The sequence below is a fragment of the Homo sapiens genome, chromosome 8 (assembly GCF_000001405.40).
Source record: "Homo sapiens chromosome 8, GRCh38.p14 Primary Assembly".
Classification (NCBI taxonomy): domain Eukaryota; kingdom Metazoa; phylum Chordata; class Mammalia; order Primates; family Hominidae; genus Homo; species Homo sapiens.
In genome coordinates this window covers 67,731,620-67,749,197 of record NC_000008.11, presented here as the reverse complement: position 1 = coordinate 67,749,197, position 17,578 = coordinate 67,731,620, and the positions used below count along the sequence as shown (strand labels likewise).

General features: G+C 42.4%; 1 protein-coding gene across 3 annotated transcripts in view, besides 2 other annotated features; it reads left to right on the top strand.

Annotated features, from left to right (window-relative positions):
• Positions 2,512 to 3,012: an enhancer, noted in NCBI's record as "H3K4me1 hESC enhancer chr8:68658421-68658921 (GRCh37/hg19 assembly coordinates)". NCBI's record gives its function as "activates a minimal SCP1, AML or CMV promoter by ChIP-STARR-seq in naive H9 embryonic stem cells {active_cell/tissue: H9 hESC(naive)}" and the evidence as "EXISTENCE:reporter gene assay evidence [ECO:0000049][PMID:30033119]".
• CPA6 (carboxypeptidase A6) overlaps positions 2,838 to 17,578 on the top strand; it is a 324,323-nt gene continuing 309,582 nt past the window's right edge. For all 3 annotated transcript variants that reach the window (NM_020361.5, XM_017013646.2, NM_001440615.1), the window contains exon 1: positions 2,838 to 3,184. In NM_020361.5, coding sequence (NP_065094.3) covers positions 3,069 to 3,184 — 116 coding nt within the window. In that variant the 5' untranslated portion in view covers positions 2,838 to 3,068. The remainder of the gene's footprint in view (positions 3,185 to 17,578) is intronic.
• Positions 16,751 to 17,251: an enhancer, noted in NCBI's record as "H3K4me1 hESC enhancer chr8:68644182-68644682 (GRCh37/hg19 assembly coordinates)". NCBI's record gives its function as "activates a minimal SCP1, AML or CMV promoter by ChIP-STARR-seq in primed H9 embryonic stem cells {active_cell/tissue: H9 hESC(primed)}" and the evidence as "EXISTENCE:reporter gene assay evidence [ECO:0000049][PMID:30033119]".

The window sequence follows — 17,578 nt, the reverse complement described above, 5'->3', positions numbered from 1 at the left end:
ATTAAAAATGATCTCATCATCAACAATGGACTCGAATCAAGGATGATATTTTCTTTTCCCAAGTAGTTTCATTTCTTTCTGTGCATGGTAATATTTCTTTTAATAAAGTTCACTCTTCCACTAAACTATGATAAAGGCATAGCCAATAAATAGAACTTCTCATCTTCCCATCTCCAAATCCCTAGCTGGTTTAATAATTCACTCCCTCTCAGTGCCTTAAAAATGGAACTTTTATCTTTGAATTCATCTATAAAACTGTTCCCTCCTCCTCCCATTTGCTAAATGGACTCCATTTATCTCTCATTTTATGGGAGCTTATCTACTCCAAGAGAAGTTTGATCAGATAACCTGGTCCTTAGTAAAACAGAGAATGATTGCTAGGTATGGCTTCTATTGTTTGAGAACCTCTCTTTGATCTGAAATTTTTAGGAAGGTTACAGGATGTCACCGGAGTTTCTGGCATTTTTGATGGTCCAGGAAATGATTCCTTTGGTCTCAGAGTCTGGAGAGCCTCTGCCGAACATGCTTGCGGGATCCAATCCTTCAGAATGATTTGAGGATGAGTTTAATTCTCAGTCAGAGACTGAACATTCCTAGTTTAATGTTGTGATATAATATGACAGATTTATACATTGTTCTGACATAGCGAAATGCAAAGAGATGAAGTGTTTTATTTACACAGTAACCTCTTATTTCCACAGATCATTGGCTTTCCTGGGCTCATCTAAAAGGCCTGTGAGTACTGCTGTGAGTCTTGCAGAGCAGCCTGACCAGTTTAGGAAGACAAAAGTACAAGGCCAGGAAGTCAGGAAAGAAGGCAACATAAAAAAGAAACGAAACCAGACATGATCACCCGGGGAACTTCCACTCTCCAAAAGCACCCATAGTGTTCTCTGCTCCCAAGGTGCTCTCTCCTCTATCTGGACACAGAAGCATCTATGTTAATGTTTGTTAAATGAATTTCTTCCCTGGTTCATCGTTCATCCAACAGACATCGTTGATCACTCCTTCAGGAAACATTGTATTCCCTCGAGGAGGTATAAGGAAGTGCACAGGAAGACCAAAAGGATACAGTTCTGTATTCAAGGAGAAAGCAGCCTCATGAGGAAACCAGACAAGAAATTTGATGTGGTAATTCCTACAGTAGAGGACATGCCAGGATTTGTGAGGGACACAGAGGAGGCATTAACCAAACTGATGCTGAGAAAGTTGCAGAAAAATTCAGAGCATCATTTCAAATGAAAACCATTTCAGCTGTTTCATGAACCTGACATTGAATCTGTCAAAGGAGTTTTGGTTCAACTCCCCAGGTAGAGAAGATGGGAAAGATTGGGTGCTCTCTCTTCTAACAGGGACTCTGGCTATAGTATTAGAGGGTACAGGAGTTCTTGGCTATGACTCTCCAGGAAGCCTGAAAAGTTTTGTGAGTGTGATGAGGAAATAGTGGCTCACTCTCTGTTTTAGAGCACAACCAGGACTGGGCATGAAAGGTAACAGGAGGCACCCTAGGTGCCTATGCTTATTTAATAGGGCGAGGCACATCCCCTGTAATGGGTTTTGTGGCGTATTGGAATAGGAGCAAGTGGATGCAAATAATAATTTTAAAAAGCTTTCATCATCAACATGGGAAAAAAGAGAAGGAAATGGTTTTCTCCAAGGTTTGCTTGGAAGAAAAAGCAGACCTCATTCTAAAGTGAAGTCTTGCTACTCCAAGTGTGGCTGAAGAGCCAGTGGCACCAGCATCACCTGGAAGCTTCTTTAGAAATGCAGACTCGGCCAGGCGTGGTGGCTCACACCTGTAATCCCAGCACTTCGCAAGGCCGAGACAAGCAGATTGCCTGAGGTCACGAGTTCAAGACCAGCCTGACCGACATGGGGAAACCTCGTCTCTACTAAAAATACAAAAATTAGCTGGGCGTGGTGGTAGGCACCTGTAATCCGAGCTACTCAGGAGGCTGAGGCAGGAGAATCGCTTGAACCTGGGAGGCGGAGGTTGCAGTGAGCCGAGATGGGGACTTGGCACTCCATCCAGCCTGGGCAACAAGAGCGAAACTCTGTCTCAAAAAAGAAAAATAAAAACTCTTAGGCCCCTGTTCCAACCTACGTCAGAGCTGCAGTTTAATGAGATCCCCAGGTGACTTCTATGCATGTGGAGCTCTGAGAAGCCCTGCTCCAGACCAGCATGGTGGTTGAATATTGGAATCACCTAAGGAGCTTTTTAAACCACTGATCCCACCACCACGGTTTCTATTTTCAAGGTCTGGCTCCCTAAATGATTCCAAATGTACAGCCAAGGTGGCAAAGCACTCGAAGGCCTCCTATTCCCCACGAGAACCTCTGAAACAGCAGCAGGTCTGGGTGCTGCTGATGCAGAATGAGTACCAAGATCTCCCTGAAGCCCAATAAAGCCACTGACCACTCCTGTAAGTCAGGAGCAGTGAACTGAAGCCAGCTGTTCGGATCTGGGTGCTATAGGTACCCCCGTGCACGTTCTCATCATGATTGTTCATTGTGCATTTCATTAGGTGGAATCCGTTTAGGAATCTGTCATGGGAGATCAAAAAAACATTAAGCTTGGAATAATCCATGTCTGCTTGTTTAGCCCATCAGACAAATCATTTGCAATTAGGTAGGATCCTCATGCTGAAGAAGATAGAGAAAGAAAGCTTGCACAGAAAAGTTAGAGGCCTCAAGTTGGGAAAGCAAACAAACCAAAAGCAGAGAGGAGTCACCCAAAGGAAGCAGCACCCAGTGAACCCCTGCCGTGAGTCAGCACGAGGGAGGCCCAGCCCTTTCTAGGGGAGCCTGATTAAAGATCAGGCTCAGCTGCTGCTGCTGCTGCTGCTGCTTGTCCCAAGACCAAGTCGTAATAGCAACTTCCCTTCCTCAGCTGCCTGAACTTTTTTTTTCCCTTGTAGCTGGAGAGAAGTGTCACATTTTGCTCACTCTCAACCTTCCTCGCCCACCCCCTTCCCGGAGAACCTGTGCGGTGTGTAGAGGGTGCTGTGAGCCACCTCCAGCCTCGGGTGGCTGCTTAAGTAACTTTCAACTCCTCTCTTCTTAACACTATGAAGTGTCTCGGGAAGCGCAGGGGCCAGGCAGCTGCTTTCCTGCCTCTTTGCTGGCTCTTTTTGAAGATTCTGCAACCGGGGCACAGCCACCTTTATAACAACCGCTATGCTGGGTAAGTGGAGCGACATTCATGCCCTACACAGCTTTGATTTGGATCTGGGGGCTGGTTTGCTCCAGAGTGTGCCTCACTTTTTCTGATTTGGGGGTCTCTGAGTGAATCTGCACACTTTCACGGTCCTCTATATAAAATGTACTCACAGCTCTCTGCTCTTGGCTTTAGCTCACTGAGAGAATGTGGTGGGCTCCAACCTGGCTTTTTATACTTTTTATCATGTGCCAACCTTAGCTGTGGACCCAGGGTTGAATGGGATTCTGTCTTTGGAGTAGCCATGGTCAGTATTTACAGTGTTTGCCTTGGTTGATGCTTGGGGATGCTGTTGTCCTACATGATTTATGACCTGAAAACTAAGCCTTTCTTTACAATTGTATGTAGGAGCGGTGGGTTGAAATTCATCAGTGATTAAGAACTGAGTGTGATTTTTTTTTTGTCTGTGCTTATTAGTCTGTAGAGTGGTTATTAGATTTTTAAATATGAGCAATGCAAATGATTCAACTCAAAATAAGCAGAATAAAAGTAGTCAACTGTAAAATTATGGATAGTTTTTCTGAAGGAAAAACATAGGAGTAAAACAATCAGTTTTGTCCCCCCTCCGTAGGTAAGCATGCTTTCTATATGCCTTTCTTCAGGAGGCAGAGGGCTGGAAGCCGTGTGTTACTATGCACATTCTTATTATCCTGAAGGCTTGCTGTGGTATAGACAGCATGTGATTTGCTCACATATGCAGGGGGTCGTTCTTAGAATCTGGAAATTATGGCTTGCCTGCACTTTAGATCTGGAAAAACCTTAAATACTTCCTCTAGTTCAATTCCTTTTTACAGAGGAGTAAACTCAGTGTCTTACATATTTTTAAATAGGCTACTATCATTCAATAATCACCACCTGAGAAAAGTTTTCATGTAGATCTGGATCATGACAAGGTAGTGTACAGTGTCTTAAAACCAAGTTGTTCTTTTTAGAAATAGTGTAAAAGAGAATTTGTAAGTGTGACCCTGGAAAAGAGAATTGTATTTCTCTTTCTCTCCCAAAGAATCTTGGCACTGCCTTTAGGGTTCCTCTGAATACAGTGCTTACAGAGGAAATTTTGGAAACATGTCCTCAGTTTTAGGGGAGGCAGGATGAGATGGAGGTGTTGGCTGAGGTAGGGGCTATAGATGGCAATATGATCACGGATTTTTCCACCCCAGTATTTCTGGGAGGAACGGAAAGGAGTTAACATCCCAGGGCTGCCTTTTGGCCTGGACATACAAGATCTCAACTTTACCTCCGATAATTTGTGACCCCTTTAGAGATCTGGAAAAAAGAAGCTCATGTTTAAAGACTGATGGTGCAGGCTTGGGTTGTGGGGGACTTAATTCTGACTCTCCTGGCTGATGCCGGGTCAGATGATAAACATAGATCACAGATTTAGACACACGTGTATGACCTAAGACCTCACTCCTCCACTCAGCTGTGGCTCTGTGCATAATTATTTCAGCGTGTGGCACTCCTCCGTGAAAAGTTACCAGGCCTGCTTCAGCTGAGCAGGTGTGCACCCTTCCCTAAGCACCACTTTGAAGAGGAAATGAGGCCAGTGGTGGCACCCTTTTCGTATAGAATTTGTAGCGACTGGAACCCTTCAGGAAAAAGTTTCATTACCTTCTCTGTTTTCAGCAATGGACATAATAATTGCTATTTTCTCTTCAGTTGCTACATAAGTTAATCCCAAGTGTATAAATTACCAGATGTCTAAGAGTAGGAGGGAAGAAAAAGATGAGAGAATGAAAAGAAGTGAGTCTCACTCAACCATTGCAATACAAGCCTAGAGCTTCTTTAAAAGCAAAAATATTTCTGAGCATATTCACTGTTAAAAATGGGGAATTCTACCTTCATTAGACATGTCATTTTCTCATCGCAAAAGACAGAAATGCTGCTCAGCTTTGAGAATGTTTTGCTTTGTTTACTCCAAAACTACTTTCTGCAAGTTTAGCCTTCCGGTGAACAAGAATCTGATGGGAAGACATGGTAGAAGAGTATTTAGCAGTTTTTTTGGCTGGTTTCATCCATCCAAAGTTATTCTGAGCCACCTCATTTTTATTCCTTAATAATTTTTCTCATTTGTTTTTTGCTACTAATGAAGGGGCAGCCCTAGTTCTTGCATTCATGTAAAAATATTTTTGTAGGTCTTTGTAGAATCTAATAATATGTGATTATCATTTACAGGACCCTGAGCATGAATAAAAAATGGAACACACAGGGCAGACCAGCATGCCTCCTGAGAGTAGCTAATGAGGGCAGTCCTCTTTAGACATAAACTAGTAACAATTGGATAGTGCCAAGTGTGTAATAGATGCTTAGTAAATGGTAAATTTAAGTGTCTCAGAAAAAAAAAATTGCCTTGGGATGGGTAGTGGGAGATTTGGGGAGAAATAGGGATGATTAATGGTCATTTAAAAACGTTAGAAAGAGTAAGACCTGTTTGCTTGCACAACAGGGTAACCATAGTCAATAATCTAATTGTACATTTTGAAATGACTAACAGTGTGACTGAATTGTTGTAACACAGAGAATAAACGCTTAAGGGGATAGATACCCCATTCTCTACGATGTGCTTATTTTACATTGCATGCCTGTGTCAAAACATCTCATGTACCCCATAAATATATATTGGGTATATAGTAGTATGTATATACTTCTATATACCCACAAAAATTAAAAACTTAAAAAAATGTGTGGAAAGACTACAAGAAAAATCTGATGACAAAAGCTAGTGCCTTTTTTGTTAACTACATTAAACACTTACAAGGCAGATCTTTAAATGCATAGGAAAGGAATGAAGCAAAGTGGAAAATAACGACTTCGATTATATTTATTGGTACTTTATGTCAAGGGCTTCAGGGGTTACAAATGCCAAGCCAAACATTTCAGGGATCAATAAATGTCCGTCAGTAAGTGAGACAAGCAAACATCATTCTGTGTTTCTCTTTTTCTCCCTCATCTCCCTGTTTTCCCAAAAGCAGACCTGATTATTTATTATGCTGTGATATTGAAACCAAAAAAAAAAATCTTCTGCGTCACAGAAAATTAGGGTAGATTTTTAAAATAGTGGTAAAAGAGAGATCTCAGACAGTAACAATAAATTCTGGCAAAATTGTAGAACTAACATGGCCATGATTTTTGAAAACTACTTATTGAGTGCCTTCTTCATGTGTCAGCGTAGCATAAGTCTGAAGTTTAACTGCCTGGGTCTCAGTTTTTGCTCTCCCACATTTAGTAGCTCTGTTATCTTAGACAAGTTATTTAACTTCTTAAACTGAGGTTTCCTTATCTTGGACAATGGAGGTAATATTAGACCTTCCTCACCAAGTTGCTGGGAGGATTCAAGAATAGCATGGTTCTTGGCACTTAGTAAGAACTTAACAGGATAGTAAAATACTTACCAAGACTTAATATAAACATTTATAAAAACATTAATTCTAAGAACAACCTTATGCATTTGTTATCCTCATTTTACAAATAGGCTAAATGAAGTACAGTCCAGATAGCCCAAGTTCAGGGCTAACTAGCTCAAGGACACACTTGAGATTCTCACCCAGCTCTGCCTGACTCCACCACTGTACTTCTCACTCTGCCACTTATTCAGGCACAGAGAAGAATTGCTTTTAAGAAAAACTGGAAGATTTACTCTTGTTTGGGGAACTGATAGTTTCAGAACAATAAAGGAAAAGAGATTATATAGGTAAAATTGGAGGTTTAATTTTGGTCACCTTCTCTAGGGTGATGATGAGTCACCGATAATGAATCATTATTAGAAAAGCATGCAGGGCCCATAAGGGATAGAAAACAGAAGAAGAAAGAACTTTCTGTTGTCACACACACACGCGCACACACACACACACAAAAGTAGAACAGAAAGTAGCTGTGATTGTGTGCCTTTGTTCATGCAAGTATTATTTGGATGCCCATTGTGTGCTGAGAACTTGACCAACAGAGTGAATGCCCTCTGATAGCTTGCTGTACAGTAGAGAAAATTGCCTACACATCAAATTACTATACAATGTGTAAGTGCTGTGTGGTAGTGGTCCCCAACCTTTTTGGCAACAGGGACTGGTTTTGTGGAAGACAATTTTTCTACGGTTGTGGCGGGGGTGGTTTCAGAATGATTCAAGTGCATTACATTTATTGTGCACTTTATTTCTATTGTTATTACGTTATAATATGTAATGAAATAATTATAGGACTCACCATAACAAAGAATCAGTGGAAGCCCTGAGCTTGTTTTCCTGCAACTAGGCAGTCCCATCTGGGGATGACGGGAAACAGTGACGTATCATCAGAAATTAGATTTTTATAAGGAACATGCAACCTAGATCCCTCGCATGGGTAGTTCACAATAGGGTTCTCGCTCCTATTGAGAATCTAATGCTACTGATGATCGACAGGAGGCAGAGCTCAGGCAGAAATGCAAGCAATGGGTAGCAGCTGCAAATACAGATGAAGCTTTGCTGGCTAGCCTGCCACTCACCTCCTGCTGTGCGGCCCGGTTTCTAACAGGCCATCAACTGGAACCGGTCTGTGGCCAGGAGTTTTGGGACCCCTGCTGTGTGGGATGAACAGATTCCTGAGGGCTGACAGAAGAGCTCAATGAACCAAGAAGGAGAGGTGAACATCCTTGCTATGTCCTTGCCAATTCTGATCATCTAGCCCTGCTGCACATAGGCTGAGTATGCAGAGAGGACTGGCTTCCCACCATCATGGCTGCTTCTTGGGACTGGAACCAAGTAATATGCTCGTATTAATCTACTTGTACTGGGTCTGCTTGCAAAGTTCCATGGACTCCTTTTTTCTCATGACAGCCCTGCATTTATTGAAGATGCCTCTCACGTCTTGGGACAGTTTCTTCCCCCTTCTTCTTTGTGTCTCAGGGAAGCCACTTTGATGAATGGCATATCCTTTTTTCCCATGACCATAGGTATGAGCAGGGCTGGGTATCACTCACTATGCACGCAGCTGGTATGTGCTGGTTAGCCACACCCATGCTGTGCTTATGGCCCCACTTATGGTTATTTGTCCACAAGCCAATAGTCATCCATGGAAACAGGATATGACTATTCACAGAAGTAGACTTGAAGTAAGATTTTTTTTGAAAAGTAGTTTGGGGCCAGGCACGGTGGCTCACGTCTGTAATCCCAGCACTTTGGGAGGCCGAGGCAGGTGGATCACCTGAGGTCAGGAGTTCGAGACCATCCTGGCTAACATGGCAAAACCCTGTTTCTACTAAAAATACAAAAATTAGCCAGGCGTGGTAGCATGCACCTGTAGTCCCCGCTACTCAGGAGGCTGAGGCAGGAGAATCACTTGAACCTGGGAGGCAGCAGTTGCAGTGAGCCAAGATCATGCCATTGCACTCCAGTCTGGGCATCAGAGCAAGACTCAGTCTCAAGAAAATAAATAAAAGTAGTTTGGTCCTTGAAATCCTATTAGCAAAGAGACTACACATTGGATGTGGCATACTGAAGACAAAAGGATTGTGAGAAATAGTGACTCAGTAGAGCAGTTTCAACCCCAGAGACATAATACTAGTTTTCTACCTTACCTCTCTGGCTATTCCCCCACCTTTGTCTCAGGAGCAGTTTTTGTGTTCTTTTATGTCCTGATGGTGGCTTCCTTTGAATGTTCTCTGAGCTTTTGGAAACCTAGGTCTAGAGCACAAGAAATCAGAGCCAGTCATGTGAATCTGAGTTGCCTTCTGCACTGGTAGTTAAGGCTCTTTTCAGATATGATGGGCAAAAGTCCCCCTTTTCCCAGGACTGGCCTGGGGTTGCCAGGGACTGTCCCAGTTTGCACCTGCTGTTCTGGTGTAGTCATCAGCAGTGCCTCCTTCCCAACTGAGAAGGGTCCTGATTTGATGGTAAATTGTTGGTTTGACCTTTTATATTCTTCACAATGTTTGCATCCTTAATGAGTTTTATTCCATGTCTTCAAATATGCCTCTTGTGTCACTCTTAAGGAAGAAATGCATCTCTGGTTCCCTCTGTTCCTGTAAAAAGTATCCCATTTGTACTCTCCTCTCCCTTGTAATGACCACCAGCCACATATAAGACTTTTTGTTTTAATCTCAGTCTGGGTTAATGTAGTTCTCTCCTAACTGATCTGCCATTCTCTAGTCCTTTCTCATATTGATGAGCTTATTAAAATAAGGCTTTTTATCATATCACTCCCTTGCTCAAAGACCTACTTTGGCTCCCTGTTGTCGACTACATCAAAGGCAGAATCCTCTGCATGGCTTTCAAGGCCTCTATCATCAAAATCTTGTTTTCCTGCCTCTTTTTCACTTATCCTACACCCTGAAACCAGATCTAGTCAGATCAGAGAAGTAGAGAGCTTCATTCAGCATTGCACACCCTGAATAAACAAAGCAAGCAGGCGCCATTCATAGTAAGAGCCTAAAGCAGGAAAGGGCCATGTCAGCTCATCAGTGACAGGTTGAAATATGTGCTCTACATTTGGGGGCGTTAGGAACTACAAAGGACATGTCCTTGGTTCTAAGGTTGGTTAAGAACGTTTCCCCACAAGTTAGTGTGTAGTTAATGGAATAGTTCTCCAGTGCCTTCTGGAACTTCCTTCTAGCTCTTGCCCCTTGTTAATGGTAGAATATTTTTAGTTTTCCTTATGCACTAGCTCAAAGTACAGCCCCTAAGTGCTGATTGTTTATCAGCTCGTTATACCCAAAGCTTTCTTCCCTGCAGTATGTTCTGTGTGTTGGGGCCTCCTGCTTTGCTGGTTAAAGACATGCAATGCTGCAGTCCTCTACCCCTCTGAACCAAACTCACAGGCAGACTGTATGGGGGTCAGCACTTCCTCTGCCCACTGAGCTAGTAGAAGGAGGATTGTTTCAAATACTTCTGGGCTCCACTCTCCTTGAAGCCCAATCTGATAATGGACCCTTTATTTTATAGCACCAAGGTACTTTCTGGGTAATACCATTAAGCATAATCACTTTCAACCTCTGAAAAGCAGCAAAGGATGTTAATGTTTTATAACTTCACAGCCTATATTGTGCAAGCTACAAAAGTATTATTTTTTTTGTCTTTGTAAATGGAATGACTGAACAGAAAATAGAAATGTTTTTGGTGACTTGTTTTAGAGTTTTCATTATGATCAATCAGTAGATAACTGGTTTATTGGATTAGAATTTGCTTTGCTAAATTAATGGCTTCTCGATCAGCCTCTAGGCATTAGCTTCTTTATGGTACAGTGCTTTAATGCGTAATACAAAGCTTTAGGATCTTGTTCCAGGTAGTGTCATAAATTTCCTAAAAGATTATTTTATGAAAGGTTGAAGCAAACTTCTAAGTGTTTCTCTTCAACATAATTATAGCCTTTGTTCTTTTTTTTTCCAGTGTACTTCGAAAATAGTAAAACATTTTAGTATCAGTGTTAGTAAGGATACTATTGGGTTGTTTTGTTTTGTTCTGTATTTTTTTGTTTGTTTCTTAGTTTTGCTATGACGAAGAATCCTAAACCTCCATAGCTTAAACAAATCCATTTCTCTCTCATGTAAAACTCCAGAACAGCTATGGCTGGTTAGTGGTAACAGAGAACCAGGCTGCTTCTGTCTTGCAGCTCTGCCATGCTCAACATTCAACTTCCAAAGGAGGAGTCTTCCATTTCTCACAGTCCAGCCAGCAGGAAAGTGGAAAGAAAAGTCACTCTCCTGTAATACCACAGACCAGAAGTTCAAACATCAGTTCCTGCAGGCCAGAATCAGCTAGACAGTCCTAGCTGCAAGGGAGGCTGTGAAATATAGCCTTTAGCCAGGGGGCCAGATCTGGGAGAACATGTTAGAGATAACTACAGCAGTCTCTCTCTGAGTGGTTACTCTGATATCCAATGACTACCAGCCCATTCTCCCTTTCACTTGTTTTTTTTTGAAATAACAATATCTCCAAATGGATGTTTAGAATTTTGGACTTCCAGCTAATTAAAAGTGTGCATTTTTTCTTCTATAAATGACATTTTTTAAAGTCATAGAATGTCGGGACCGGAAGGGACAAAAAATATATCATAGCCCAATCCCTTTTTACAATATATGAGGAAGCAGAACTCCATAAAGGTAAAAGGATTGGCAGAGCTAGCACTAGAGTTAAGACTAAAACCCAGGCCACCTGAGTTCACAGCATTCTTTATAGTTGACAACACCACTTTTGGTGACTCCAGAAATCTTCTTACCCTTTCCTATTCTCTAGAGTCATTGGGGATGAAGTAAAGTGATTTGGCAAGGCTGAGAATTGTTTAACAAGGGAGGATTTCATTTCATGTCTATAAATATTTGCAGGGTGTCTGGCCCGCTGCTAGTCTAGGACTACAGAGATGAAAGAGCAGCCCATGTGCACAGCATAATGAGTAACTCAGGCAGGTAAACAAACAGTTCCAACCCTGGGATCCTTGTGCCTCCAGAGAAAACTCTTGATATCAGATATCAAGTGAGTGCAGGAGAGGGTCACCTAACCCAGACTGAAGAATGGACAGAAGGCCAGAGAAGTCATCTTAGATGTGACGATTGCAAAGGGGGGAAAAAAAACACATTTGAGTGGTTTATTAAATATGCAAGATATTTTGACTTTTTCTTTTAAATGGCTGGTATTGAAAGGACATTGTCCTGATCTCAGTCATCAAGAACAACTAGAAATTAGGTTAAGGCTTTCCAGACACAGGGAATATATTGGTGCAAAGAACTACAGGTGAGAGAGCTTGGTCAAGTCTAGAAAATCAGGGCAATTGAGTATGGCTATAACAGAAGGCATCTTTCTCTGAGGGAGTCAGGAGGCGGGAGGGAAGGCTGCAGAGGTAGGTGAGGTCCCATAACATATGGTTCTGATTTCTCCCAAAGGCAACAGCATGCTCATGAACAACTTTAAGCAGGGAATTTAGTTGATTCAATTTTTAAAAGAAAGTTCTCTCTGCCATCATTGAAAAGGGAAGATTGGAGGGCTGAAGACTGGTGTCAAGATGACTGGGATGTTATGGTGACCTTAGTAATACGAGGTAGGGCCTGGTTAATGGCAGTGACATCAGAAGAAAAAAGAGGGAACCAACTAAATATTTAGGAGGTAGAATTTTCACAATTTTTCCACTATTTCACAGAGGGAATAGCGTAAATTGAATCTCAGAATCAGGTAAGTAGACTGCCCTTTGCAGAGAAGATAAGCACTTTTTTGGATATGTATTGTTTGAGCTGCCTATAAAGTGCCCAGTTGGATAGACGGATCTGAAGCTCAAGAGAGACCTCTAGGCTATGAAATAGATTCCAGAAACTGATGTGTCAATAGAATTTCTTGAAACCTTTGGTATAGGATGGAGTACCCTGGAAGAACTCATTACATGAAAAGAGGGCCAAAGACTCAATAGAGCAGAAGGGGAAAGGCAGAGAAGAAAGTAGCAGAAAGGTCTAGAAACAGAGTAAGAAACACAGGAGATGTCAGTTAAAGGAAAATAAGGGATCCAAGAAGGGAGAGGTTAATCATATCAAGTGCTGCAAAGTCGTATCCACTGGGTAGGCCATTCAGGACATCATTCATGATATCATCAAAGGTGCTTTTGGTGGAGTGGTGAATGGAAACTAGAGCAGGTAGGTTGAGAAGGGAATTGGGATGTCAGAAAATTAGCAGTGAAAGGAAACCATAATTTCAAGAAGCTTGTCCATGAAGTGGGGGTGAGGGCAATGTGGGGAGCTGATAGAGTTAAAGGAGTGTTTTGCCCTTTTGCTTTTACTCCTTAAGATAGGAAAGATATGCTCATATTTTACACCAGGTGGTAGAAATAAGGAAAGGGAGAGACCAGTGATAAAGGAAAGACCACAGGAAAGTGAGATGGAGTCAGGTCTCCACAGAGACTGAAAGCTGGTTTGCCTCTCCTTTCTCTGTAAAGTAGGAGGTGGGTCCTGGTCCTATGAAGAGAGACAGGAGATGACTTGGGACCTTCAGAGGGATCACCAGCATCACTGAGGGGCCAGCTGATGGTATGGATGATGAGTCCATAAAGGAACCATAAACCCAGCTCCACAGGTTTTCTCCAGAATCATTTCTGAAGAATGTTACCTGCAATGTGCCCCTGGAGGGAGAGGGGAGGGAAGGCTGCAGAGGTTGGTGAGGTCCCGTAACATACGCTTCTGATTTCTCCCAAAGGTAACAGCATGCTCATGAACAACTTTAAGCCAAGAACTTAGTTGATTCTATTTTTAAGAGAAAGTTCCCTCTGCCATCACTGAGAAAGGAAGAGCAACTAGTGGAGCTCTAAAAGGAAAGAGGGCAGAAATGTAATAGCAATGGAAGAAAGAAAAAAAAAAAAAGACTGCCACTAATTTGTATTTCTCTAACATTTAATAAGATGATCAGTACTTTGTAAATCAGAATATAATACAAGGTATTATATTAGGTAAGTTATGCTATTCGTGGGAAAGTCTCTCATGTAGACACATCCTGTCACAAAATTGACAATTTTTTTCATTACCTTCTATCTTCCTAAGGAATTAAGTAAAAGACTGAAAGCATCTTAGTGTCTTCTTAGCCAAATCTATTCTCTTCCTCATTAAGTTATCGGAAAACTGGAGGTGCCATCTCCTCATCCATCTTCCCAGTTCTCTCATCCTTCCTCATTCCACAAACACTTACTGACCCAATACCAGGAGAGTAGCAATTATCACATCCTGACTGTCATTTCTTATCCCCAAGGATGGTTAAGAATCTTCAAAGTAGCTGTGCCAGGCAGTGTCTTGCAGAGGAAACGACAGTCTGTGTCTCCTGAGGGCTTATGTTTTAATCCACAGTCTAAACTGAAAAAGAGGGAGAGATTAAAAAAAATGAACAAGTATTTAAAACCAAATGAAAATGCAAGTATATTAGGTCAACACACTCTTCCTGCTTTCTTCTACCTTTGTTTTCTTAACACACACGTCATGTATTTTTATAACATTTCAATCTTAGCAACTGATAAAAGATGAAAGTTCTAGGGTACCACACTCTATCACTAGATGAGGACCCTGGTCTATGTTTGCACTTACAGAAGCTGGAACCATTTGCACATGTGACCTCATTGGTCATATTTTCATTTCCCCTATCTCCCTTTAAGAATGTCTTTATCTTACCAGACTAATTCATGAATCACCAACATGTCAACTAGGTTCCTTTTTCTGATTTTGTGACTGTAATGAGAACACAAGATTTATAATGAGATGATTGGGGTCTTATTATAATCTCTCCATCATGTTTGGGATGATGGGATGATGTGATGGGATGTCTGATGATGTGATAGCAATATATTTGGCATCAAAACTGCTAAACATAATGAAGGTTGGAGGCATTTGGGATGAGCCTGTATAGCAAAGTATTTGCAGCAGTTAGAAATTTGCTGCAGAAAAAAAATATTCTAAGCCCTCGACTTACAGGGCAGAAAAAAGGATACATATGGGGGAGTCCAGTTCTCCCTAAGTTTTCAGAACTCTTTGTGGAAGCAGAGGAAAATGTAAGTCATTTTAATGTAATATCTGACAGAAATCTTAATGTAATATCTTACATCTTAATGTCATATCTGACAGAAAAATTACTTCAATGTTTTGGAGAGAAATTTAGTCTGCTTTGTTTTTCTCTGCCTAAAATAAGGGTTTTCTTTTTTTTTTTTTTTTCCATGGGGCCCTGGTTTGCTGAGGTCATGCACCTTCCACACTACTATTCTAAAAACTCTCCAATTACTTCAAGCACCCACACACACACCTGTACCCTCTGTTTGCTCCCCCCAATGCCTGACACCACACCTTTTATATAAGAGCAAATAAATGTATCTTTCTTGATAAGAGGGAGGCTGGTGGCTCACACTTGTAATCCCAGTACTTTGAGAGGCCAAGGTGGGAGAATCACTTGAGCCCAGGAGTTGGAGACCCAGCCTGGCCAACATGAGAAAAACCTGAATTTACAAAAAAAAAAAATTAAGTTTGCTAGGTGTGGTGGCGCATGCCTGCACTTCCACTACTAGGGACGCCAAGGCAGGAGGATCACTTGAGCCCAGGAGAATGAAGCTGCAGTGAGCCATGATTGCACCACTGCGCTCCAGCCTGTGTGACAGAGGGCGCCACTGCACTCCAGCCTGGGCAACAGCCTGTCTCAAAAAAAAAAAAAAAAAAAAAAGACGATGCAGCATTTGACCCGAGTTATCTCAGCTTCTATCCTTCCTACCACAAACTCTACAGGTTCCTGATCCCGCCCCCACCGCCCCCCACTCCTTTCCAAGGCAATACCTTGTGTATTCAGTCAGCACTATTCATTGAGTGCCTACTATGTGCCCATTTTAAGGCCCAGGGATATAGCACTGTAGGTTCTAGGAATACAGCACTTCTTTAAGTCCTAGTGAATAAAACAAAGTATCTTGTGAAGTTTACATTCTAATGAAATGACAGAAAATTAATATGCCATAGTAGTGAGTTCTGATAAGGACTCTGAGCGGAGATAAAATGTAGAAAGGTGATAGAGTGTCAGGAGAGGAGATGAGAAGAATAAAGTGAGACTCCTGATTATGTGAAGCTCTGAGGGTAGAAACTTCCACGCGTGGGAAAGAGGAGGTGAGGTGGAAGCCCGTGTAGCATGTCCCTGGACAGTGGGTCTCAGACCAGCAACATCAGCACCACCTGGGCACTTGAGAGAAGCTAAAAATTATCAGGCCACCTCCCCCTCCCAAATCAGGAGTTCTGGGGGTGGGGCCCAGCAGTCGGGCTTAACAAGCCCTCCAGGTGATAGACGCTAAATTTTTTTATTTTTTTTTTTTTTTTTTTTTTTTTTTTGAGATGGAGTCTCGCTCTGTAGCCCAGGCTGGAGTGCAGTGGTGCGAATCTCGGCTCACTGCAAGCTCCACCTCCCGGGTTCAAGCCATTCTCCTGCCTCAGCCTCCCGAGTAGCTGGGACTACAGGTGCCCGCCACCACACCTGGCTAATTTTTTGTATTTTTAGTAGAGACGGGGTTTCACCGTGTTAGCCGGGATCGTCTCGATCTCCTGACCTCATGATCCGCCCGCCTCAGCCTCCCAAAGAGATGGGATTACAGGCGTGAGCCACCACGCCCGGCAAGAAGCTAAACTTTGAGAACCACTGTTGAGGACAAGCAGCAGGGTGACATGGCTGGAGCCTGGGGGTCGATGGAACAGTCACTCGCCCTTGGTTCCTGCTGCTCTGGTCCAGACTGTGTTCAATTTCCGTTTGCTTATCACTGTGAAACCTCTCAAAATCACCTACAGCTTTCGTTCTCTGTCCTTTGTCTATTCTGTGCATGTTCCTCCACATCTGCCCACCTTTCTCAAACCAGTTCAAACTCTTACCTCCTCCAGCGCGAGTTCCCAGGTCCCACCAATCAGCCGTGACCGCGCCCTCCTCTGAGAGCCCATGCCACTCTGTCGTTTATAACACTAACCACGTGCGGCTCGGTATTACAGTTGTATGTGGATGTCCTATCTTTCAGGAAATAAGCAAGTTGAGAGTAAGATGCTGTATCTTCTTATCTATATTCTTACAGTCCCCAAATAGCGTTTCGCATGTTCAGTGAAGATTTTCAAAGGAAAAAGGAGGGAAGAAGAGGAGGAAGGGATGAGAGAGAGCGAGGAAGGAAGGGGGACAGGAAACTAACAAACTAGGAATCGAATTGCTGACACCTGCAGGCAGTTTTATCACACTAAATTTCATCAATGACAAGTAGTGAAAAACAGGAACCATTTGCCCTTACGGCTTTCGGAGGAATGTGGGGATCCCACAGCTGCCACCTGTATGTGCTTAAGGGCGATATTCCCACTCTCCTGCTGATTTCTCCCTGTTCAATGTGTTTTGGGTATCACTTGCACTATTATCCAAAGTTGGCCTCAGATATTTTATTTATATAGGCTCTTAAAAGTGACTGGACCGGCATTCTGCTTGGGGGAGGAGATCTCTGAGGCAAAACTGCCATTTCCTGGCTGGCCTAGAATGGGCACCAGCTGGTCAACACTTTTATTAGCCATTACCTTTTACCAAATTTAGAGAAGCGACCCTTGCCTTTTTGTCATTGCTGCTTTATCCTCTAAGGAATAGACAGGAAGTCATCTGAAATTGTAGGTCACTCCTCAATCATTCATTTTGAGCCTAACATCCTCTCTAGTTTTTGACTAATTTTTACAAACCAAAGAACTTCCAGTGTATCTTTCAGAACTTTATTGGTCGTATTCTTCCTTTAACTTTTTTTCTATCTCTTTAGGTGCCGTGATTCAATAAGAAGAAAGTTTGCTTGCAATTTCTGTACTTGGTTCCCCTACTCAGATGCCCATACAAATTCCAAGTACCACAGAAACAGAATAGTCCTGGAGAGTACAGTCAGGCTTCCTTTAAAATAAGGCAA